Consider the following 26,584-nt stretch of genomic DNA (forward strand, 5'->3'; position numbering starts at 1 on the left):
CTTTTTGTAGAATTTCCAAGTGAATATTTAGAGTGGTTTAAGGCCTAACCTAGAAAAGGAAATATCTTCATATGGAAACTACACAGAATCATTCTCAGAAACTACTTCATGATGTGTGCGTTCAACTCAAAGAGTTTAACCTTTCTTTGGATGGGGCAGTTTTGAAACACTCTTTTTGTAGTATCTGCAAGTGGATATTTTGACCTCTTTGTGGCCTTCGTTGGAAACGGGAATTTCTTCACTTAAAAATAGACAGAAAAATTCTCAGAAACTTCTTCGTGATGTGTATGTTCAATTCACAGAGTTGAACCTTCCTTTCGATAGAGCAGTTTTGAAACACTCTTTTTGTTGTATTTTCAACTGGATATTTAGAGTGTTTTAAGGCCTATGGTAGAAAAGGATATATCTTCATATAACAACTAGACAGAATCATTCTCAGAAACTACTTTGTGATCTCTGCGTTCAACTCACAGAGTTTAACATTTCTTTTGATAGAGCAGTTTTGAAACACCGCTTTTGTAGAATTTGCAATTGTATATTGACAGCACTTAGACGCCTATTTTAGAAAACGAAATATCTTCACATAAAAATTAGAAACATTCTCAGAAAATACATTGGGATGTTTGCATTCAACGCACTGTGTTGAACATTCCCCTTGGTGTAGCAGTTTTGAAACATTTTTTTTCTAGAATCTGCAAGTGGATATTTAGACCTCTTTGAGACCTTCGTTGGAAACTGGATTTCTTCATATAAAAACTAGACAGAAAGACTCTCAGAAACTTCTTTTTGATGTGTGCATTCAACTCACAGAGTTGAAACTTCCTTTCGATAGAGCAGTTTTGAAAAACTCTTTTTGCAGAATTTCCAAGTGGATATTTAGATCGCCTTGAAGCCTATGGTAGAAAAGGAAATATCTTCATATAAAAATTATACAGAATCTTTCTCAGAAACTAGATTGTGATTTGTGCTTTCAATTCACTGAATTTAACCTTTCTTTTGGTAGAGCAGTTTTGAAACACTATGTTTGTAAAGTCTGCAAGTGTATATTTGGAGCACTTTAAAGCCTTCTTTGGAATCAGGAATATCTTCACATAAAAAGTAAACAGAAGTATTCTCAGAAACTTCTTTGTGTTGTCTGCACTCAACTAACAGAGTTTAACCTTCCTTTTGATAGAACAGTTTTGAAACACTCATTTTGTAGAGTTTGCGAGTGGATATTAAGAGCGTTTTTTGGCCTATGGTAGAAAAGGAAATATCTTCATATTAAAAATACACAGAGGCATTCTCAGAAACTACTTTGTGATGTTTGCATTAAACTCACAGAGTTGTACATTACTTTCGATAGAGTAGTTTTGTAACACTCTTTTTGTAGACTCTACAAGTGGATATTTGGACCTCTTTGAGGCCTTCGTTGGAAACGGGACTTTCTTCATATAAAAACTAGACAGAAGAATTCTCAGAAACTTGTTTATGATGTGTGCATTCAATTCACAGAGTTGAACTTTTCTTTCAATAGAGCAGTTTTGAATCACTCTTTTTGTAGAATTTCCAAGTGGATATTTAGAGCTGTTTGAGACCTATGGTAGAAAAGGAAATATCTTCATATAAAAACTAGACAGAATCATTCTCAGAAACTACTTTGTGATGTGTGCATTCAACTCACATAGTTTAACATTTCTTTTGATAGAGCAGTTTTGAAACACCACTTTTGTAGAATTTGCAAGTGTATATTCAGAGCGCTTTGAGGCCTATGGTAGAAAATGAAATATCTTCACATACCAACGAGGCAGAAGCATTCTCAGAAACTACTGTGTGATGTTTGCATTCAACTGACAGAGTTGGACATTCCTCTTGATGGAGCAGTTTTGAAACTCTCCTTTGTAGAATCTGCAAGTGGATATTTGGAACTCTTTGAGGCCTTCGTTGGAAACGGGAATTTCTTCACTTGAAAAACAGACAGAAGAAATCTCTGAAACTTTCTGTGACATGGACATTCAACTCACAGAGTTGAATCTTTCTTTCGATAGAGCAGTTTTGAAACACTCTTTTTGTAGAATTTCCAAGTGGATATTTAGTGCGCTCTGAAGCCTGTGGTAGAAAAGGAAATATCTTCATAGAAAAACTGCACAGAAGCATTCTGAGATACTACTTTGTGTTGTTTGCATTCAACTCACAGAGTTGAACATTCCTTTTGATAGAGCAGTTTTGTAACACTCTTTTTGTAGAATCTGCAAGTGGTTATTAGGACTTCTTAGAGGCCTTCTTTGGAAACGGGATTTCTTCCTATAAAAAGTAGACAGAAGAATTCCCAGAAACTTCTGTGTGATGTGTGCATTCAACTCACAGAGTTGAAACTTCCTTTCAATACAGCAGTTTTGAAACACTATTTTTGAAGTATTTTCAAGTGAATATTTAGGGCGCCTTGAAGCCTATGGTAAAAAAGGGAATGTCTTCACATAGAAATTAGACAGAACCTTTCTCAGAAACTAGTTTGTGATGTGTGCTTTAAACTCACTGAGTTTAACCTTTCTTTTGTTAAAGCAGTTTTGAAACACTCTGTAAAGTCTGCAAGTGGATATTTGGAATGCTTTAATGCCTTCTTTGTAAAGGGGAATATCTTCACATAAAAGTAAACAGAAGTATTCTCAGAAACTCCTTTGTGATGTCTTCACTCAACTACCAGGGTTGAACCTTCCCTTTGATAGTGCAGTTTTGAAACACTCTTTTTGTAGAATTTGCGAGTGGATATATAGAGCGTTTTGGGGCCTATGCTAGAAAAGGAAATATCTTCATATTAAAACTACACAGAGGCATTCTCAGAAACTACTTGTTGATGTTTGCATTCAACTCACAGAGTTGAACATTCCTTTTGGTAGAGCACTTTTGAAACACTCTTTTTATAGGATATGCAAGTGGATATTTTGACCTATTTGAGGCCTTCCTTGGAAACGGGATTTCTTCATTTAAAAACGAGATAGAAGAATTCACAGAAACCTCTTTGTGGTGTGTGCATTCAGTACACAGAGTTGAACCTTCCTTTCGATAGAGCAGTTTTGAAACTCTTTTTACATAATTTCCAAGTGGATATTTAGAGCGCTTTGAGGTCTATGGTTAAAAACGAAATATCTTCATATAAAAACCAGACAGAATCATTCTCAGAAGCTACTTTGTGATGTGTGCATTCAACTCACAGAGTTTAACCTTTCTTTTCATGGAGAAATTTTGAAACCCTCTTTTTGTAGAATTTTGAAGTGGATATTTGGAGCACGTTGAAGCCTATGGTAGAAAAGGAAATATCTTCACATAAAAACTAAACAGAAGCATTCTCAGAAACTACTGTGTGATGTTTGCATTCAACTCACAGAGTTGAACATTCCTCTTGATGGAGCAGTTTTGAAACACTCTTTTTGTGGAATCTGCAAGTGGATATTTGAAGCTCTTTGAGGCCTTCATTGGAAACGGGCTTTCTTCTTATGAAAGCTAGACAGAATTCTCAGAAACATCTTTGTGTTCTATGCATTCAATTCACAGAGTTGAATCTTCCTTCCAATAGAGCAGTTTTGAAACACTCTTTTTGAGGAATTTCCAAGTGGATATTTAGAGTGGTTTGAGGACTTTGGTAGAAAAGAAATTATCTACATATAAACACTAGACAGAATAATTCTCAGAAACTACTCTGTGATGTGTGCGTTCAAATCACAGAGTTTAACCTTCTTTTCAATAGAACAGTTTTGAAACACTTTTTTTGTAGAATTTCCAAGTGGATATTTAGTGCCCTTTGAAGCCTATGTTAGAAAAGGAACTATCTTCATAGAAAAACAACACAGGAGCATTCTCAGAAACCAGTTTGTGATGTGTGCATTGAATTCACAGAGTTTAACCTTTCTTTTGAATGGAGAAGTTTTGAAACACTCTTCTTGTATGATTTGCAAGTGTATATTTAGGGCGCTTTGTAGCCTGTGGCAGAAAGTGAAATATCTTCACATAAAAAGTAGAGTGAAGCATTCTCAGAAGCTAATTTGTGATGTTTGCATTCAACTCACAGAGCTGAACAATCATTTGATAGAGCAGTTTTGAATCACCCTTTTTGTAGATTCTGCAAGCGGACATTTGGACCGCTGTGAGGCCTTCGTTGAAAACGGGCATATCTTCACATAAAAATCAGACAGAAGGATTCCCAGAAACTTCTTAGTGATGTGTGCATTCAACTTACAGATTTTAACTTTTCTTTTGATAGGGCAGTTTTGAAACACTCTTTCTGTAGAATTTGCTAGTGGATATGTGCCTCCCTTTGAGGCTTATTTTGGAAAAGGAAATATCTTCACATAGAAAGTAGAAGGAATCATTCTCAGAAACTACTTTTTGATGTGTGACTTCAACTCACAGAGTTGAACCTTCCTTTTGATAGAGCATTTTTGAAACACACTTTTTGTAGAATCTGCAAGTGGATTTTTGGAGGGCTTTGAGGCCTACTTTTGAAACGGGTATATTTTCACAGAGAAAGTAGACAGAAGTATTCTCAGAAACTTCTTTGTGATGTCTGCATTCAACTCACTGAGCTGAACCTGCCTTTGGATAGAGCAGTTTTGTACACTCATTTTGTAGAATTTCCAAGTGGATATTTAGAGTGCTGCATGTCCTATGGTAGAATAGGAAGTATTTTCATAAAAAAGTAGACAGAAGCATTCTAAGAAACTACTTTGTGATGTTTCCATTCAACTAACAGAGTTGAACATTCCTTTTGATAGAGAAGTTTTGAAACACTCTTTTTGTGGAATCTGCAAGTGGACATTTAGACCGCTTTGAGTCCTTGGTTGGAAACGGGATTATCTTCACATAAAAACCAGAGAGAAGCATTCTCAGAAACTTCTTTGCGATGTGTGCATTCAACTCACAGAGGTGAATATTTCTTTTGATATAGCAGTTTTCTAACACTCTTTTTGTAGAATCTTCAAGTGGATATTTTATTCCCTTTGAGGCCCATGTTGGAAAAGGAGTTATCTTCACATAAAAATTAGAATGATACATTCTCATAAACTTCTTTGAGATAGATAAGTGAATTCAACTCACAGACTTGAACCTTTCTTTTGACACAGCAGTTTTGAAACGCTCTGTTTGTAACGTTTGCAAGTGGACATTTGTAGTGCTTTCAGGCCTTCTTTGGAAAGGGGAATATCTTCCCATAAAAAGTAGACATAAGTATTCTCTGAAACTTCTTTGTGATGTCTGCACTCAACTCACAGAGATCAACCTTCCCTTTGATAGAGCAGTTTTGAAACACTCTTTTTGTAGAGTTTGCAAGTGGAGATATAGAGCGTTTTGGGGCCTATGGTAGAAAAGGAAATATATTCATAGAAAAACTACACAGAAGCATGCTCAGAAACTGCTTTGTGATGTTTGCATTCAACTCACAGAGTTGAATATTCCTTTTGATAGAGCAGTTTTGAAACATTCTTTTTGTAGGATCTGCAAGTGAATATTTGGACCTCTACGAGGTCTTCGTTGGATACGGGAAATTCTTCACTTAAAAACTAGACAGGGCCGGGCGCGGTGGCTCAAGCCTGTAATCCCAGCACTTTGGGAGGCCGAGGCGGGTGGATCATGAGGTCAGGAGATCGAGACCATCCTGGCTAACAAGGTGAAACCCCGTCTCTACTAAAAATACAAAAAATTAGTCAGGCGCGGTGGCGGGCGCCTGTAGTCCCAGCTACTCGGGAGGCTGAGGCAGGAGAATGGCGTGAACCCGGGAAGCGGAGCTTGCAGTGAGCCGAGATTGCGCCACTGTAGTCCGCAGTCCGGCCTGGGTGACAGAGCGAGAATCCGTCTCAAAAAAAAAAAAAAAAAAAAAAAAAAACTAGACAGAAGAAACTCAGAAACTATTTGTGATGTGTGCATTCAGCTCACAGAGTTGAACCTTCCTTTTGATAGAGCAGTTTTAAAACACTCTTTTTGTAGAATTCCCAACTGGATATTTAGAGCACTTTGAAGCCTATGGTAGAGAAGGAAATATCTTCATAGAAAAGCTACACAGAAGCATTCTCAGAAACTACTTTTTGATGTTTGCATTCAACTCACAGAGTTGAACTTTCCTTTTGATAGACCAGTTTTGTAACACTCTTTTTGTAGAATCTGCAATTGGACATTTTGGCCTCTTTGAGGCCTTCGTAGGAAATGGGATTCCTTCATATAAAAACTAGACAGAAGAATTCTTAGAAATTTCTTTGTGATGTGTGCATTCAAATCACAGAGTTGAAACTTCCTTTCAATAGAGCAGTTTTGAAACACTCTTTTTGTAGAAATTCTAAGTGGATATTTAAGGGGTTTGAGGCCTATGGTAGAAAAGGAAATATCTTCATATAAAAACTAGACACAATGATTCTCAGAAACTAGTTTGTGATGTGTGTGTTCAACTCACAGATTTTAACCTTTCTTTTGATGGAGCAGTTTTGAAACACTCTTTTCCAAAGTTTGCAAGTGTGGATTTAGAAGGCTTTGAGGCCTATGGTACAAAAGGAAATATCTTCACATAAAAACTAGACAGAAGCATTCTCCTAAACTACTTTGTGATGTTTGCATTCAACTCACAGAGTTTAACCTTTCTTTTGATAGAGAAGTTTTGAAACACACTTTTTGTAGAATTTGCAAGTGCATATTTAGAGATCTTTGGGTCTATGGTAGAAAAGGAAATATCATCCCAAAAAACTAGACAGAAGCATTCTCAGAAACCACTTTGTGATGTTTGCATTCAACTCACCGGGTTGAACAATCATTTGATAGAGCAGTTTTGAAACACCCTTTTTGTGTAATCTGCAAGTGGACATTTGGACCGCTTTGAGGACTTCATTGGAAATGGGTATATCTTCAAATAAAAATGAGACAGAAGGATTCCCAGAAACTGCTTTGTGATGTGTGCATTCAACTTACAGAGTTAAACTTTTCTGTTGATAGAGCAGTTTTGAAACACTCTTTTTGTAGAATCTCCAAGTGGATATGTGCCTCCCTTTGAGGCTTATGTTGGAAAAGGAAATATCTTCATATAAAAACAAGAAAGAATCATTCTCAGAAACTTATTTTTGATGTGTGCCTTCAACTAACAGAGTTGAACCTTCCTTTTGATAGAGCATTTTTGAAACAATCTTTTTGTAGAATCTGCAAGTGGATCTTTGGAGTGCTTTGAGGCCTACTTTTGAAACGGGTATAACTTCACATAGAAAGTAGACAGAAGTATTCTCAGAAACTTCTTTGTGAGGTCTGCATTCAACTCACAGAGTTGAAACTTCCTTTGGATAGAGCAGTTTTGAAACACTCTTTTTGTAGAATTTGCAAATGAATATTTAGAGAGCTTTGTGTCGAATAGGAAGTATTTTAATAAAAAAAGTAGACAGAAGCATTCTAAGAAACTATTTTGTGATGTTTCCATTCAGCTAACAGAGTTGAACATTCCTTTGTATAGAGAAGTTTTGAAACACTCTTTTTGTGGAATCTGCAAGTGGATATTTCGACCGATTTGAGGCCTTCGTTGGAAACGGGATTATCTTCACATAAAATCCAGAGAGAAGCATTCTCAGAAACTTCTTTGTGATATGTGTATTCAACTCACAGAGGTGAATATTTCTTTTGATATAGCAGTTTACAAACACTCTTTTTGTAGGATCTTCAAGTGGATATTTTATTCCCTTTGAGGCCCATGTTGGGAAAGGAGTTAACTTCACATAAAAACTAGAATGAATCGTTCTCATAAACTTCTTTGTGATGAGTGAATTCAACTCACAGAGTTGAATCTTTCTTTTGACAGCAGTTTTGAAATGCTCTGTATGTAAAGTTTGCAAGTGGATAATTGGAGGTCTTTGAGGTCTTTATTGGAAACGGGAATATCTTCACATATAAAGTAGACATAAGTATTCTCTGAAACTTCTTTGTAATGTCTGCACTCAACTCACAGAGATAAACCTTCCCTCTGATAGAGCAGTTTTGAAATAGTCTTTTTGTAGAATTTGCAAGTAGATATTTAGAGTGTTTTGTGGCCTATGGTAGAAAAGGAAATATATTCATAGAAAAACTACACAGAAGCATTCTCAGAAACTGCTTTGTGATGTTTGCATTCAACTCAAAGAGTTGAACATTCCTTTTGATAGAGCAGTTTTGAAACACTCTTTTTGTAGGATCTGCAAGTGGATATTTGGACCTCTATGAGGCCTTCGTTGGAAACGAAAAATTCTTCACTTAAAAACTAGAGAGAAGAAATCTCAGAAATTTTTTGTGATGTGTACACTCAACTCAGAATTGAACCTTCCTTTTGATGGAGCAGTTCTGAAACACTGTTTTTGTAGAATTTCCAACTGGATATTTAGAGCGCTTTGAAGCCTATGGTATAGAAGGAAATATCTTCATAGAAAAAGTACACAGAAGCATTCTCAGAAACTACTTTGTGATGTTTGCATTCAACTCACAGAATTGAACATTCTTTTTGATAGAGCAATTTTGTAACACCCTTTTCATAGAATCTGCAAGTGGATATTTGAAACTCTTTGAGACCTTCATTGGAAACGGGATTTCTTCCTATGAAAACTAGACAGAAGGATTCTCAGAAACTTCTTTGTGATGTGCGCATTCAGTTCACAATGTTGAACCTTCCTTTCGATAACCAGTTTTGAAACACTCTTTTTGTAGAATTTCCAAGTGGATATTTAGAGCTATTTGCGGCCTATTGTAGAAAAGGAAATATCTTCATATAACCACTAGACAGAATCATTCTCAGAAACTGCTTTGTGATATTTGCATTCAATTCACAGAGTTTAACACTTCTTTTGATAGAGCAGTTTTGAAACAATCTTTTTTGTGGAATTTGAAAGTGAGTATTTAGAGGGCTTTGAGGCCTATGGTACAAAAGGAAATATCTTCATATGAAAACTAGACAGAACCATATTCAGAAACTACTTTGTGATGTGTGCTTTCAACTCACAGAGTTTAACCTTTCTTTTGATGGAGCAGTTTTAAGACACACTTTTTGTAGAATTTGCAAGTGTATATTTAGAGCACTTTGAGGCATATGGTAGAAAAGGAAATATCTTCACGTAAAAAGTAGACAGAAGCATTCTCAGAAACTACTTTGTAATGATTGCATTCAACTCACAGAGTTGAACATTGCTCTTGATAGAGCAGTGTTGAAACACTCTTTTTGTAGAATCCGCAAGTGGATACTTGGACCTCTTTCAGGCCTTCATTGGAAGCGAGATCTCCTCATTTAAATACTTGACAGAAGAATTTTCAGAAAATTCTTTGTGATGTGTGCATTCAACTCACAGAGTTTAACCATCCTTTCGATAGAGCAGTTTTGAAACAATCTTTTTGTAGAATTTCCAAGTGGATATCTTGTGCACTTTGAGGCCTTTGGTCTAAAAGGAAATATCTTCATATAAAAACTTGACAGAATCATTCTCAGAAAGTACTTTGTGATGTGTGAGTTCAACTCTCAGAGTTTAACATTTCTTTTCATGGTGCAGTTTTGAAACACTCTTTTTGTAGAATTTGCAAGTGTATATTTAGAGCGCTTTGAGGCCTATAGTAGAAAAGGAAATTTCTTCACATAAAAACTAGACAGAAGCACCCTCAGAAACTGCGTTGTGGTGTTTGCATTCAACTAAGAGAGTTGAACATTCCCCTTGATAGAGCCGTTTTGAAACACTCTTTTTGTAGTATCTGCAAGTGGATATTTGGAACTCTTTGAGACCTTCGTTGGAAACCGGATTTCTTCATTTAAATATGAGACAGAAGAATTCTCAGAAACTTCTTTGTGATGTGAGCATTCAACTCACAGAGTTGAACGTTCCTTTTGATACACAAGTTTTGAAACACTCTTTTTGTAGAATTTCCAATTGGATTTTTAGAGCGCTTGGAGGCCTATGGTAGAAAAGGAAATATCTTCACATAAAGTCTAGACAGAATCATGCTCAGAAACTAGTTTGTGATGTGTGCGTTCAACTCACCCAGTTTAACATTTCTTTTGATGGGGAAGTTTTGAAACACTCTTTTTGTAGAATTTGCAAGTGTATATTTAGAGTGTTTTGAGGCCTATGGTAGGAAAGGAAATATCTTCACATAAAAACTAGACAGAAGAATTCTCAGAAACTACTTTGTGAGTTTTGCATTCAATTAACAGAGTTGAACATTCCTCTTGATAGAGCAGTTTTGAAACACTCTTTTTGTAGAATCTGCAAGTAGATACTTGGACCTCTTTGAGGCCTTCGTTGGAAACGGGATTTCTTCATATAAAAACTAGACAGAAGTATTCTCAGAAACTTTTTTGTGATGTGTGCATTCAACTCACAGAGTTGAAGGTTCCTTTCGATAGAGTAGTTTTGAAACACTCTTTTTGTAGAATTTCCATGTAGATATTTAGTGCGCTTTGAAGGCTATGGTAGAAAAGGAAATATCTTCGTATAAAAACTGGACAGAATCATTCTCAGAAGCTAGTTTGTGATGTGTGCATTGAACTCGACTTTAACTTTTCTTTTGATGGAGCAGTCGTGAAACACTCTTTTTGTAGAATTTGCAAGTGTGTATTTAGAGGACGTGAGGCCTATGATAAAAAAATTAAATATCTTCACATGAAAAGTTGACAGAAGCATTCTCAGAAACTACTTTGTGATGTGTGCTTTGAACTCACAGAGTTTATCCCTTCTTTTGATGGAGCAGTTTTGAAAGACTCTTTTTGTAGTATTTCCAAATGGATATTTGGAACGCTTTGAAGCCTATGGTAGAAAAGGTAATATCTTCATAGAAAAACTACACAGAAGGATTCTCAGAGACAACTTTGTGATGTTTGTATTCAACTCACAGAGTTGAACATTCCTTTTGATAGAGTAGTTTTGTAACACTCTTTTTGTAGAATCTGCAAGTGGATATTTTGACCTCTCTGATGTCTTCATTGGAAACGGGTATTTCTCCATATAAAAAGTAGACAGAAGAATTCTCAGAAACTTCTTTGTGATGTGTGCATTCAATTCAAAAAGTTGAATCTTCCTTTCGATAGTGCAGTTTTGAAACAATCTTTTTGTGGAATTTCCAACTGGATATTTAGTGCGCTTTGCAGCATGTGGCAGAAATGGAAATATCTTCACTTAAAAACTAGACAGAAGCATTCTCAGAAACTACTTTGTGATGTACTCATTAAACTCAGAGAGTTGAAAACTCCTCATGATAGAGCAGTTCTGAAACACTCTTTTTGTAGGATCTGCAACTGGTTATTTGGACCTCTTTGAGATCTTCGTTTGAAACGGGATTTCTTCATTTAAATACTGGACAGAAGAATTCTCAGAAACGTCTTTGTGTTGTGTGCATTCAACTCACAGGGTTGAACTTTCATTTTGATAGAGCAGTTTTCAAACACTCTTTTTGTAAAATTTCCAACTGGATATTCGGAGCGCTTGGAGCCGTAAGGTACAAAAGGAAATATCTTCATATAAAAACTAGACAGAACCATTGTCAGAAACTACATTGTGATGTGTGCATTCAACTTTCATAGTTTAACCTTTCTTTTGATAGAGCAGTTATGAAACACTCTTTTTTTTTTTTTTAGAATTAGCAAGTGTGTATATAGAGGGATTCTGGGCCCATGGTAGAAAAGGAAATATCTTCACATAAAAACTAGACAAAATCATTCTCAGAAACTACTTTGTGATGTGTGTGTTGCACTCACAGAGTTTATCCTTTCTTTTGATGGCGCAGTTTTGAAACACTCATTTAGTAGAATTTTCAAGTGGATATTTAGAGCGCTTTGAAGCCTATGATAGAAAAGGAAATATCTTCATAGAAAAACTACACAGAAGCATTCTCAGAAGCTACTTTATGATGTTTGCATTCAACTCACAGAGTTGAACATTCCTTTTGATAGAGTGGATTTGTAACACTCTTTTTGTAGAATCTGTAAGTGGATATTTGGACCTCTCTGAAGCCTTCCTTGGAAACAGTAATTTCTTCATATGAAAACTAGACAGAAGAATACACAGAAACTTCTTTGTGATGAGTGCATTCAATTCACAGAGGTGAACCTTCCTTTCGATAGAGCAGTTTGGAAACACTCTTTTTGTAGAATTTCCAAGTGGATATTTAGAGCACTTGGAGGCTATGTTAGAAAAGGAAATGTCTTCATATAAAAACTAGACAGAAGTTTTCTCAGAAACGATTTGTGATGTGTACATTCAATTCACAGAGTTTAGCTTTTCTTTTGATAGAGCAGTTACGAAACACTCTTTTTGTAGAATTTGCAAGTGTGTATTTAGAGTGCTTGGAGGCCTATGGTAGAAAAGGAAATATCTTCACATAAAAACTAGACAGAAGCATTCTCAGAAACTACATTATGATGTGTGCGTTGAACTCACAGAATTTAATCTTTCTTTTGATGGAGCACTTTTGCAAAACTTTTTTTGTAGAATTTCCAAGTGGATATTTAGAGCGCTTTGAAGCCTGTGGTAAAAAAGGAAATATCTTCATAACAAACTACACAGAAGCATTCTCAAAAACTACTTTGCGATGTTTGCATTCAACTCACAGTGTTGAACATTCCTCTTGATAGATGTGTTTTGAAACACTGTTTTTGTAGACTCTGCAAGTGGATATTTGGACGTCTTTGAGTCCTTCTTTGGAAAAGGGATTTCTTCATATAACAACTAGACAGAAGATTTCTCAAAAACTTTGTGATGTGTCCATTCAACTCACAGACTTGAAACTTTCTTTTGATGGAGCAGATTTGAAACAGACTTTTTCTAGAATTTCCAGGTGGATATTTAGAGCACTTGGAGGCTTATGGTAGAAAAGGAAATATCTTCATATAAAAAGTAGTCAGAATCATTATCAGAAACTATTTTGTGATGTGCTCATTCAACTCACAGAGTTGAACCTTTCATTTGATAGAGCAGTTATGAAACACTCTTTTTGAAGTATTTGCCAGTGGATAATTGGAGCGCTTTGTGGCCTATGTTAGTAAAGGAATTATCTTCATAGAAAAACCAGACAGAAGCATTCTCAGAAATTTCTTTGTCATGTGTGCGTTGAACTCACAGAGTTGAATCTTTCTTTTGATAGAGCAGTTTTGAAACACTCTTTTTGTAGAATCCTCAAGTGGATATTTGGAGTGCTTTGAGGCCCAATGTAGAAAAGAAAATACCTTCATATAAAAACTTGAAGGAAGCATTCTCAGAAACTTCTTTGTGATGTTTGCATTCAACTCACGGAGATGAACATTCCTTTTGATAGAGCAGTTTTGAAAAACTCTTTTTGTGGAATCAGCAAGTGGATATTTGGACAACTTTGAGGCCTTTGTAGGAAACAGGATTATCTTCACATAAAAACCAGAGAGAAGAATTCTCAGAAACTTCTTTGCTATGTGTGCATTCAACGCACAGAAGTGAACTTTTCTTTTGACAGAGCAGTTTTTAAACACTCTTTTTGTAGAATCTTCAAGTGGATAATTCATTCCCTTTGGGGCCCATGTTGGAAAACGAATTATCTTCACATAAAAACTAGAAAGAAACATTCTTATAAACTTATTTGTGATGAGTGCATTCAACTCACAGAGTTGAACCTTCCTTTTGACAGAACAGTTTTGAAACACTCTTTAAAATGTCTGAAATTGGAAATTTGGAGGTTTTTTAGGCCTTCTTTGGAAACGGGAATATCTTCACATAAAAAGTAGACAGAAGTATTCTCAGAAACTTCCTTGTGATGTCTGCACTCAACTCACAGATTTGAACCTTCCTTTTTGATAGAGCCGTTTTGAAACACTCTTGTTGTAGAGTTTCCAAAGGGATATTTTCAGCGCTTTGAAGCCGATAGTAGAGAAGGACACATCTTTATAGAAAAACTACACAGAAGCATTCTCAGAAACTACTTTGTGATGCTTGCATTCAACTCACATTGTTGGACATTCCTTTTGATAGAGCAGTTTTGTTACACTCTTTTTGTAGAATATGTAAGTGGATATTTGGACCTCTTTGAGGCCTTCGTTGGAAACGGGATTTCTTCATGTAAAAACTAGACAGAAAAATTATCAGAAACTTCTTTGTGATATGTGCATTCAACTCACAGAATTTAACCTTCCTTTCAATAGAGCAGTTTTGAAATCCTCTTTTTGTAGAACTTCCAAGTGGATATTTAGTGTGCTTTGAGTCCTCATATAAAAACTAGACACAATGATTCTTAAAAACTAGATTGTGATGTGTGCATTCAACTCACATATTTTAACCTTTGTTTTGAAGGAGCAGTTTTGAAACACTCTTTTTTCAGAATTTGCAAGTGTACATTTAGAGTGCTTTGAGGCCTATGGTAGAAAAGAAAATATCTTCACATAAAAACTAGACAGAAGCATTCTCATAAACTACTTTGTGATGTTTGCATTCAACTCACAGAATTGAACATTCCTCTTGATAGAGCAGTTTTCAAACACTCTTTTTGTAGTATCTGCAAGTGGATATTTGGACCTCTTTGAGGCCTTCATTGGAAACGGGATTTCTTCATGCAAATACTAGACAGTAGAATTCTCAGAAATTTCTTTGTGATGACTGTATTCAACTCACAGAGTTGAATATTATTTTCGATAGAGCAGTATTGAAACACTCTTTTTGAAGTACTTCCAAGTGGATATTTATAGTGCTTTGATGCTTATGGTAGAAAAGGAAAAAACTTCATTTAAAAACTAGACAGAACCATTCTCAGAAACAACTTTGTGATGTGTGCGTTCAACTCACAGATTTGAACATTTCTTTTGATAGAGCAGTTATGAAACACTCTTTTTGTAGAATTTGCAAGTTTGAATTTAGAGAGCTTTGAGGCCTATGGTAGAAAAGCAAATATCTTCATATAAAAACTAGACAGAAACTTTCTCAGAAACTACTTTGAGATGTGTGCATTGAACTCACAGAGTTTAACCTTCCTTTTGATAGAGCAGTTTTGAAACGCTCTTTTTGTAGAATTTGCAAGTGTATATTTAGAGATCTTTGGGGCCTATAGTAGAAACGGAAATATCTTCCCAAAAAACTAGACAGAAGCATTCTCAGAAACTACATTTGTGATGTTTGCATTCAACTCACGGAGTTGAACAATCATTTGATAGAGCTGTTTTGAAACACCCTTTTTGTGGAATCTGCAAGTGGACATTTGGACCGCTTTGAGGCCTTCATTGGAAACGGGTATATCTTCACATAAAAACCAGACAGAAGGATTCCCAGAAACTTCTTTGTGATGTGTGCATTCAGCATACAGAATTGAACTTTTCTGTTGATAGAGCAGTTTGAAACACTCTTTTTGTAGAATCTGCAAGTGGATATGTGCCTGCCTTTGAGGCTTATGTTGGAAAAGGAAATTTCTAACTGGATATTTAGAGCACTTTGAACCCTATGGTAGAGAAGGAAATACCGTCATAGAAAAGCTACACTGAAGCATTCTCAGAAACTGCTTTGTGATGTTTGCATTCAATTCACAGAGTTGAACATTCCTTTTGATAGACCCGTTTTGTAACACTCTTTTTGTAGGATCTGCAAGTGGATATTTGGGCCTCTTTGAGGCCTTCTTCGGAAACGGGATTTCTTCATATAAAAACTAGACAGAAGAATTCTCAGAAACTTCTTTGTGATGTGTGCATTCCACTCACAGAGTTGAACCTTCCTTTCAATAGAGCAGTTTTGAAACAGTCTTTTTGTAGAATTTCCAAGTGGATATTTAAGGGGTTTGAGGCCTATGGTAGAAAAGGAAATATCTTCATATAAATAGTAGACACAATGATTCTCAGAAACTTGTTTGTGATGTGTGCATTAAACTCACAGATTTTAACTTTCTTTTGAAGGAACAGTTTTGAAACACTCTTTTTGTAGAATTTGCAAGTGTGTATTTAGAGGGTTTTGAGGCCTATTTTACAAAAGGATATATCTTCACATAAAAACTAGACAGAAGCATTCTCCTAAACTACTTTGTGATGTGTGCGTTCAACACACAGAGTTTAACCTTTCTTTTGATGGAGCAGTTTTGAAACACACTTTTTGTAGAATTTCCAAGTGGATATTTAGAGCTTTTTGAAGTCTATTGTAGAAAAGGAAATATCGTCATAGAAAAACAATATGGAAGCATTCTCAGAAACTGCTTTGTGATGTTTGCATTCAACTCACAGAATTGAACATTCCTCCTGATAAAGCAGTTTTGAAACACCCTTTTTGTTGAATCAGTAAGTGGATATTTGGACCTCCTTGAGGCATTCTTTGGAAACGGGAATTTCTTCACTTAAAAACTAGGCAGAAGAAATCTCAGAAACTTTTTGTAATGTGTGCATTAAACTCACAGATGTGAACCTTCCTTTTCATAGAGCAGTTTTGAAACACTCTTGTAGAATTTCCAAGTGGATGTTTGGTGCGCTTTGAAGCCTATGGTAGAAAAGGAAATATCTTCATAGAAAACTACACAGAAGCATTCTCACAAAGTATTTTGTGATGTTTGCATTCAACTCATAGAGTTGAACATTCCTCTTTATAGAGCAGTTTGAAGCACTTTTTTGTAGAATTTGCAAGTGGATGTTTGATTGCCTTTGATGCCTATGTTGGGAAAGGAATTATCTTCACATAAAAACTAGAAAGAAACATTCTCATAAACTTCTTTGTGATGAGTGCATTCAAATCAAGGAGTTGAACCTTCCTTTTGATAGAGCAGTTTTCAATCACTCTTTTGTAGAATCTCCATGTGGATATTTGGAGCGTTTTGAGGCCTTCTTTGGAAACGGGAATATCCTCACATAAAAAGTAGACAGAAGTATTCTCAGAAACTACTTTGTGATGTCTGCACTCATCTAACAGAATTGCAACTTCCTTTTGATAGAGCACTTTTGAAACACTCTTTCTGTTGAATTTGCAAGTGGACAATCAGAGCGCTTTGAGGCCTATGGTAGCAAAGGTAATATCTTCATAGAAAAACAACTACACAGAAGCATTCTCAGAAACTACTTTGTGAAATTTGCATTCGACTCACAGAGTTGAATGCGTCTTTTGATAGAGCAGTTTTGAAACACTGTTTTTGTAGAATATGCAAGTGGATATTTGGAACTCTTTGAGGCCTTCGTTGGAAACGGGAATTGCTTCAATTAAAAACTAGACAGAAGAATTTTCAGAAACTACCTTGTGATGTCTGCACTCAACGCACAGTGTTCAACCTTCTGAAACACTCTTTTTGTAGAATTTGCAAGTGGATATTTAGAGCGTTTTGGGGCCTATGGTAGAAAAGGAATTACCTTCACCCAAAAACCACACAGAAGCATTCTGAGAAACTGCTTTGTGATGTTTGCATTCAACTCACAGATTTTAACTTTTCTTTTGATGGCGCAGTTTTGAAACACTCTTTGTAGAATTTTCAAGTGGATATTTAGATCGTTTTGAGGTGTAAGGTAGGAAAGGAAATATCTTCTTAGAAAAACTACACAGAAGGATTCTCAGAAACTACTTTGTGATATTGGCATTTAACTCACAGAGTTGAACATTCCTTTTGATAGAGCAGTTGTGAAACACTTTTTGTAGAATCTGCAAGTGGATATTGGGACATCTCTGAGGCCTTCATTGGAAACGGGAATTTCTTCATATAAAAACTAGACAGAAGAATTCTCAGAAACTTCTTTGTGATGTGTGCATTCAATTCACAGAGTTGAACCTTCCTTTCAATAGAGCAGTTTTGAAACACTCTTCTTGTAGAATTTCCAAGTGGATATTTAGAGCAGTTAGAGGCCTATGGTACAAAAGGAAATGTCTTCAAATAAAAACAAGACAGAAGCATTCTCAGAAACTTCTTTGTGATGTGTGCATTCAACTCACAGAGTTGAACCTTCGTTTCGATAGAGCAGTTTTGAAACACGCTTTTTATCGAATTCCCAGCTGGATATTTAGAGCGCTTTGAGGCCTATGGTAGAAAAGGAAATACCTTCATAGAAAAACTACACAGAATCGTTCTCAGAAACTAATTTGTGAGGTTTGCATTCAACTCACAGAGTTGAACGTTCCTTTCATAGAGAAGTTTTGAATCACTTTTTTGTTGTTGTTGTTGAATCTGCAAGTGGATATTTAGACCGCGTTGAGGCCTTCATTGGAAACCGGTTTATCTTCACATAAATACCAGACAGAAGCATTCTCAGAACCTTCTTTGGGATGTGTGCATTCAACTCACAGAGGTGAAATTTTCTTTTGAAAGAGCAGTCTTGAAACACTATTTTTGTAGAATCTGCAAGTGGATACTTTATTCCCTTTGAGGCCTTTGTTGGAAAAGGAATTATCTTCACATAAAAATTAGAAAGAAACATTCTCGTATACTTCTTGGAGATGAGTGCATTCAACTCACAGAGTTGAAGATTCCTTTTGATAGAGCAGATTTGAAACACTCTGTTTGTAAGTCTGCAAGTGGATATTTGGTTGGCTTTGAGGCCTTCTTTGGAAACGGTAATATCTTCACCTAAAAAGTAGACAGAGGTATTCTCAGAAACTTCTTGTGATGTCTGCACTCAACCCACAGAGTTGAACGGTCCTTTTGATAGAGAGGATTTGAAACACTCTTTGTGTAGAATTTGCAAGAGGATAATTAGAGCGCTTTGAGGCCTATGTTAGAAAATGGAATATCTTCATAGAAAAATTACACAGAAACATTCTCAGAAACTATTTTGGGATGTTTGTATTCAACTCAAGGAGTTATACATATCTTTTGATAGAGCAGATGTGAAACACTCTTTTTGTAGAATTTTCAAGTGGATATTTAGAGCGCTTTTATGCCTATGGTGGAAAAGGAAATATCTTCATAGAAAAATTACACAGAAGCATTCTCAGAAACTACTTTGGGATGTTTGCATTCAACTCACGGAGTTGAACATTCCTTTTTCATAGAGCAGTTTTGTAACACTCTTTTTGCAGAATCTGCAAGTGGATATTTGGACCTCTTTGAGTCCTTCGTTGGAAACGGGATTTCTTCATATAAAAACTAGACCAAAGAATTCTCAGAAACTTCTTTGTGAAGTGTGCATTCAACTCACAAGGATGAACCTTCCTTTCAATAGAGCAGTTTTTAAACACTCTTTTTGTAGAATTTCCAAGTGGATATTTAGAGCGCTTTGAAGTCTATGGTAGAAAAGGAAATATTTTCATATAAAAACTAGACAGAAAGGCTGGTTCAATATACACAAATCAATAAATGTAATCCATCATATAAACAGAGCCAAAGACAAAAACCACAGGATTATCTCAATAGATGCAGAAAAAGCCTTTGGCAAAATTCAACAACACTTCATGCTAAAAAGTCTCAATAAATTAGGTATTGATGGGACGTATTTCAAAATAATAAGAGCTATCTATGACAAACCCACAGCCAATATCATACTGAATGGGCAAAAACAGGAAGCATTCCCTTTGAAAACTGGCACAAGACAGGGATGCCCTCTCTCACCACTCCTATTCAACATAGTGTTGGAAGTTCTGGCCAGGGCAATTCTGCAGGAGAAGGAAATAAAGGGTATTCAATTAGGAAAAGAGGAAGTCAAATTGTCCCTGTTTGCAGACGACACGATTGTATATCTAGAAAACCCCATTGTCTCAGCCCAAAATCTCCTGAAGCTGATAAGCAACTTCAGCAAAGTGTCAGGATACAAAATCAATGTACAAAAATCACAAGCATTCTTATACACCAACAATAGACAAACAGAGAGCCAAATCATGAGTGAACTCCCATTCACAATTGCTTCAAAGAGAATAAAATACCTAGGAATCCAACTTACAAGGGATGTGAAGGACCTCTTCAAGGAGAACTACAAACCACTGCTCAACGAAATAAAAGAGGATACAAACAAATGAAAGAACATTCCATGCTCATGGGTAGGAAGAATCAATATCGTGAAAATGGCCATACTGTCCAAGGTAATTTACAGATTCAATGCCATCCCCATCAAGCTACCAATGACTTTCTTCACAGAACTGGAAAAAACTACTTTAAAGTTAATATGGAACCAAAAAAGAGCCCGCATCGCCAAGTCAATCCTAAGCCAAAAGAACAAAGCTGGAGGCATAGCACTACCTGACTTCAAACTATACTACAAGGCTACAGTAACCAAAACAGCATGGTACTGGTACCAAAACAGAGATATAGATCAATGGAACAGAACAGAGCCCTCAGAAATAACGCCACATATGTACAACTATCTGATCTTTGACAAACCTGAGAAAAACAAGCAATGGGGAAAGGATTCCCTATTTAATAAATGGTGCTGGGAAAACTGGCTAGCCATATGTAGAAAGCTGAAACTGGATCCCTTCCTTACACCTTATACAAAAATCAATTCAACATGGATTCAAGACTTAAATGTTAGACCTAAAACTATAAAAATCCTAGAAGAAAACCTAGGCATTACCATTCAGTACATAGGCATGGGCAAGGACTTCATGTCTAAAACACCTAAAGCAATGGCAACAAAAGCCAAAATTGACAAATGGGATCTAATTAAACTAAAGAACTTCTGCACAGCAAAAGAAACTACCATCAGAGTGAACAGGCAACCTACAAAATGGGAGAAAATTTTCACAACCTACTCATGTGACAAAGGGCTAATATCCAGAATCTACAATGAACTCAAACAAATTTACAGGAAAAAAACAAACAACCCCATCAAAAAGTGGGTGAAGGACATGAACAGACAGTTCTCAAAAGAAGACATTTATGCAGCCAAAAAACACATGAAAAAATGCTCATCATCACTGGCCATCAGAGAAATGCAAATCAAAACTACAATGAGATACCATCTCACACCAGTTAGAATGATGATCATTAAAAAGTCAGGAAACAACAGGTGCTGGAGAGGATGTGGAGAAATAGGAACACTTTTACACTGTTGGTGGGACTGTAAACTAGTTCAACCACTGTGGAAGTCAGTGTGGTGACTCCTCAGGGATCTAGAACTGGAAGTACCATTTGACCCAGCCATCCCATTACTGGGTATATACCCAAATGACTATAAATCATGCTGCTATTGCGGCATTATTCACAATAGCAAAGACTTGGAACCAACCCAAATGTCCAACAATGATAGACTGGATTAAGAAAATGTGGCTCGTATACACCGTGGAATACTATGCAGCCATAAAAAAGGATGAGTTCATGTCCTCTGTAGGGACATGGATGAAACTGGAAATCATCATTCTCAGTAATCTATCACAAGAACAAAAAACCAAACACCGCATATTCTCACTCATAGTTGGGAATTGAACAATGAGATCACATGGACACAGGAAGGGGAATATCACACTCTGGGGACTGTGGTGGGGTGGGGGGAGGGGGGAGGGATAACATTGGGAGATATACCTAATGCTAGATGACGAGTTAGTGGGTGCAGCGCACCAGCATGGCACATGTATACATATGTAACTAACCTGCACAATGTGCACATGTACCCTAAAACTTAAAGTATAATAAAAAAAAAAATAAAAAACAAACAAACAAAAAAACCAGACAGAATCATTCTCAGAAACTCCTTTGTGATGTGTGGGTTCAACTCACAGAGTTTAACATTTCTTTCGATAGAATAGTTTTGAAGCACTCTGTTTGTAAAGTCTGCAAGTGAATATTTGACGCACTTTGAGGCCTTCTTTGGAAAAGGTAATATCTTCACATAAAAAGTAGACAGAAGTATTCTCAGAAACTTCTTTGTGATCTCTGCACTCCACTCAGAGATTTGAAACTTCCTTTTGATAGAGCAGTTTTGAAACACTATTTTTGTAGGATTTGAAAGTGAATATTTAGAGCGTTTTGGAGCCTATGTTGGAAAAGATAATATATTCATTCAAAAACTACACAGAAGCATTCTCAGAAACTACTTTGATGTTTGCATTCAACTCACAGAGTTGAACATTCCTTTTGATAGAGCAGTTTTGTAACACTTTCTTTGTAGAATCTGCAAGTGGATATTTTGACCTCTCTGAGGCCTTCGTTGGAAACGGGAATTTCTACGTATAAAAACTAGACAGAAGAATTCTCAGAAACTTCTTTGTGATGTGTGCATTCAATTCACAGAGTTGAACCTGACTTTCGATAGAGCAGTTCTGAAACACTCTTTCTGTAGAATTTCCAAGTGGATATTCAGAGTGGTTTGAGTCCTATGGTAGAAAAGGAAATATCTTCATATAAAAATTAGACATTATCATTTTCAGAAACTACTTTGTGATGTGTGCATTCAACTCACAGATTTGAACCTTCCTTTTGATAGAGCAGTTTTGAAACACTCTTTTTGTAGAATTTGCAAGTGAATATTTAGAGGGCTTTGATGCCTATTGTAGAAAAGGAAATATCTTCATAGAATAACTACACAGAAACATTCTCAGAAAGTAATTTGTGATGTTAGCATTCAACTCACAGAGTTGAACCTTCCTTTTGATAGAGCATTTTTTGAAACACTCTCTTTGTAATGGCTGCAAGTGGATATTTGGAGCAATTTGAGGTCTTCTTTGTAAATGAGAATATCTTCACGTAAAAAGTAGACAGAAGTATTCTGAGAAACTACTTTGTGATGTTTGCACTCAACTCACAGTGCTGAAACTTCCTTTTGATAGAGCAGTTTTGAACCACTATTTTTGTAGAATTTCCAAGTGCATAGTTAGAGCACTTTGAGGCCTATGGTAGAAAAGGAAATATCTTCATAGAAAAACTACACAGAAGCATTCTCAGAAACTACTTTGTGATGTTTGCATTCAACTCAAAGAGTTGAAGATTCCTTTCGATAGGGCAGTTTTGTAACACTCTTTTTGTAGAATCTGCAAGTGGATATTTGGACCTTTTTGAGGACTTCGTTGGAAATGGGATTTCTTCATATAAAAACTATACAGAAGAATTCTCAGAAACTTCTTTGTGATGTGTGCATTCAACTCACAGATATGAAACTTCCTTTCGATAGAGCAGTATTGAAACACTCTTTTTGTAGCATTTCCGAGTGGATATTAACAGCGCTTTGAAGCCTGAGTTAGAAAAAAAAAATAACTTCATATAAAAACTAGACAGAATCATTCTCAGAAACTACTTTGTGATGTGTGCGTTCAACACACGGCATTTAACCTTTCTTTTGATAAAGCAGTATTGCAACATTCTTTTTGTGGAATTTGCAGGTGGATATTTAGAGCGCTTGGAGTCCTTTGGTAGAATACGAAGTATTTTCATAAAAAAATGGCCAGAAGCATTCTCAGAAACTATTTTGTGATGTTTGTATTCAACACGCAAGGCTGAACCAACCTTTTGATAGAGGAGTTTTGAAACACTCTTTTTGTGGAATCTGCAAGTGGATATTTTGTTCCCTTTGAAGCCTAAGTTGGAAAAGGAAATACCTTCACATAAAAACTAGAAAGAAACATTCTCATAAACTTCTTTGTGATGAGTGCATTCAACTCTCGGAGTTGAACCTTCCTTTTGATAGAGCAGTTTTGAAACACTTTGTAAAGTCTGCAAGTGGATATTTGGAGTGCTTTAAGGCCTTCTTTGGAAATGGGAGTACCTTCACATAAAAAGTAGAGAGAAGTATTTTCAGAAACTTCTTTGTGATGTCTGCACTCAAATCACAGATTTGAAACTTCCTTTTGATAGAGCAGTTTTGAAAAACTTCTTTTGTAGATTTTGCAATTGGATAATTGGAGCGCTTTGAGGCCTATGGTATAAAAGGATATATCATCATAGAAAAACTACACGGAAGTATTCTCAGAAACTTCTTTGTGATGTTTGCATTCAACTCACTGTGTTAAACATTCCTTTTTATAGAGCAGTTATGCAACAGTCTGTTTGTAGAATCTGCAAGTGGATATTTGGACCTCTTTGAGGCCTTCGTTGGAAATGGGAATTTCTTCACTTAAAAACTAGACAGGAGAAATCTCAGAAACTTTTTCTGATGTGTGCATTCAACTCACAGAGTTGAGCCTTCCTTTTGATAGAGCAGTTTTTAAACACTCTTTTTGTAGAATTTCCAAGTGGATATTTAGAGCACTTTGAGTCCTTTGGGAGAATAAGAAGTATTTTCATAAAAAAAGTAGACCGAAACATTCTCAGAAACTATTTTGTGATGTTTGCATTCAACTCACAAAGTTGAACATTCCTTTTGATAAAGCAGTTTTGAAACACTCTTTTTGTAGAAAATGCAAGTGGATATTTGGACCTCTTTGAGGCCTTCGTTAGAAACGGGAATTTCTCCAAAGGAAAACCAGACAGAAGAATTCTCAGAAACTTCTTTGGGATGTGGGCATTCAACTCACAGAGTTGAACCTTCCTTTTGATTGAGCAGTTTTGAAACACTCTATTTGTAGAATTTCCATGTGGATATTTAGAGCGCTTTGAAGCCTATGGTTGAAAAGGAAATATCTTCATATAAAAACTAGACAGAATCATTCTCAGAAACTACTTTGTGATGTGTGCATTCAACTCACAGAGTTTAACCTTTCTTTTGGTATAGCAGTTTTGAACCCCTCTGTTTGTAAATCTGCAAGTGTATATTTGGAGCACTTTGATTCCTTCCTTGGAAACGGTAATATCTTCACATAAAAAGTATACAGAAGCATTCTCAGAAACTCCTTTGTGATGTCTGCACTCAACACAGAGTTGAACCTTCCTTTTGATAGAGCAGTTTTGAAACACTCTTTTGTGGAATTTGCAAATGGATATTTAGAGCGATTTTGGGCCTATGGTAGAAAAGGAAATATCTTCATAGAAAAACAACACAGAAGCATTCTCAGAAACTAATTTCTGATGTTTCCATTCAACTCACAGAGCTGAATATTCGTTTGACAGAGCAGTTTTGAAACGCCCTTTTTGTGGAATCTGCAAGTGGATATTTGCAGTGCTTTGAGGACTGTGGTGAAAAGGAAATATCTTCACATAAAAACTAGACAGAAGAATTCTCAGACTATTTTTGGGAAGCATGCATTCAACTCACAGAGGTGAATATTTCTTTTGTAAGAGCAATTTTGTAACACTCTTTTTCTAGAATTGGCAATTGGATATTTAAAGCGCTTTGAGGCCTATGTTGAAAAAGAAAATATCTTCACATAAAAACAAGACAGAAGCATTCTCAGAAACTTCTTTGTGATGAGTGCATTCAACTCACAGACGTGAACGTTTCTTTGGAAAGAGGAGTTTAGAAACATTATTTTTGAAGAATCTGCAAGTGGATATTTGGAGCGCTTTGTGGACTATAGTGGAAAAGGAAATATCCACACATAAAAAATTGACAGAAGCATTATCAGAAACTTCTTTGTGTTGTGTGCATTCAACTCACATAGTGGAACCTTTCCTTTGAGCAGTTTTGAAACACTCTTTTTCTAGAATCTGCAAGTGGATATTTGGAGCGCTTTGAGGACTATGGTGGAAGTGGAAATATCCTCACATAAAAACTAGACAGAAAAATTTTCAGAAAATTTTTCGTGATGTGTGCCTTCAACTCACAGGGTTGAGCCTTTCTTTTGATAGAGCAGTTTTGAAACCCTCCTTTTCTAGAATCTGCAAGTGAACATTTGGAGCGCTTTGAGGACTATTGTGGAAAAGGAAATGTCATCACATAAAAACTTGACAGAAGCATTCTCAGAAACTTCTTTATGATGTGTGCATTCAAACCACAGGGTTAAACATTTCTTTTGATAGGGCAGTTTTGAAACAATCTTTTTCTAGAATCTGCAAGTGGATATTTGGAGCGCTATGATTCTTAAGGTGGAAATGGAAATATCTTCCCATAAAAACTAGACAGAAGCATTGTCAGAAACTTCTTTTTGATGTGTGCATTCAATTCATAGATTTGAACCTTTCCTTTGATAGAGCAGTTTTGAATCCTTCTTTTTTTTAGAACCTGCAAGTGGATATTTGAAGTGCTTTGAGACCTATGGTGGAAAAGGAAATATGTTCACATATAAACTAGACAGAAATATTCTCAGAAAATTTTTCTGTTGTGTGCATTTAACTCAGAATTGAAACTTCCCTTTGATGGAGCAGTTTTGATACACTCTTTTTGTGGAATCTGCAAGTGGATATTTGGAGGGCTTTGAGGCCTATGTTGGAAAAGGAAATATCTTCACATGAAAACTAGAAAGAAGCATTCTCAGAAACTTTTTTGGGATGTGTGCATTCAAGTCACAGAGTTTAACATTTCTTTTGATAGAGCAGTTTTGAAAATCTCTTTTTCTATAATCTGTAAGAGGATATTTGCAGCGCTTTGAGGCCAATAGTGGAAAAGGAAATATATTCAAATAAAAACTAGACAGAACCATTCTCAGAAAATTCTTTGTGTGCATTTAACTCAGCATTGAACATTTCCTTTGAATGAGCAGTTTTGGTATATTCTTTTTGTAGAATCTGCAAGTGGATATTTGGAGGGCTTTGAGGCCTATGGTGGAAAAGGAAATATCTTCACATAAAAACTAGTAAGAAGCATTCTCAGAAAATACTTTGTGTTGTTTGCATTCAACTCACAGAGTTGAATCTTTCTATCTGTAGAACATTTTTGAAACACTCTTTTTCTAGAATCTGCAAGTGAATATTTGGAGCGCTTTGAGGCCTATGGTGGAAAAGG

At 36.0% G+C, this 26,584-nt stretch overlaps 5 annotated features.

The window, feature by feature from the left end:
- Window positions 3,026-3,969: an enhancer, noted in NCBI's record as "OCT4-NANOG hESC enhancer chr8:46861408-46862351 (GRCh37/hg19 assembly coordinates)". NCBI's record gives its function as "activates a minimal SCP1, AML or CMV promoter by ChIP-STARR-seq in primed H9 embryonic stem cells {active_cell/tissue: H9 hESC(primed)}" and the evidence as "EXISTENCE:reporter gene assay evidence [ECO:0000049][PMID:30033119]".
- Window positions 7,851-8,391: an enhancer, noted in NCBI's record as "OCT4-NANOG hESC enhancer chr8:46866233-46866773 (GRCh37/hg19 assembly coordinates)". NCBI's record gives its function as "activates a minimal SCP1, AML or CMV promoter by ChIP-STARR-seq in primed H9 embryonic stem cells {active_cell/tissue: H9 hESC(primed)}" and the evidence as "EXISTENCE:reporter gene assay evidence [ECO:0000049][PMID:30033119]".
- Window positions 15,785-16,319: an enhancer, noted in NCBI's record as "OCT4-NANOG hESC enhancer chr8:46874167-46874701 (GRCh37/hg19 assembly coordinates)". NCBI's record gives its function as "activates a minimal SCP1, AML or CMV promoter by ChIP-STARR-seq in primed H9 embryonic stem cells {active_cell/tissue: H9 hESC(primed)}" and the evidence as "EXISTENCE:reporter gene assay evidence [ECO:0000049][PMID:30033119]".
- Window positions 16,829-17,364: an enhancer, noted in NCBI's record as "OCT4-NANOG hESC enhancer chr8:46875211-46875746 (GRCh37/hg19 assembly coordinates)". NCBI's record gives its function as "activates a minimal SCP1, AML or CMV promoter by ChIP-STARR-seq in primed H9 embryonic stem cells {active_cell/tissue: H9 hESC(primed)}" and the evidence as "EXISTENCE:reporter gene assay evidence [ECO:0000049][PMID:30033119]".
- Window positions 17,365-17,898: an enhancer, noted in NCBI's record as "OCT4-NANOG hESC enhancer chr8:46875747-46876280 (GRCh37/hg19 assembly coordinates)". NCBI's record gives its function as "activates a minimal SCP1, AML or CMV promoter by ChIP-STARR-seq in primed H9 embryonic stem cells {active_cell/tissue: H9 hESC(primed)}" and the evidence as "EXISTENCE:reporter gene assay evidence [ECO:0000049][PMID:30033119]".

This window comes from Homo sapiens, chromosome 8 (genome assembly GCF_000001405.40).
Source record: "Homo sapiens chromosome 8, GRCh38.p14 Primary Assembly".
NCBI classification, from domain to species: Eukaryota; Metazoa; Chordata; class Mammalia; order Primates; family Hominidae; genus Homo; species Homo sapiens.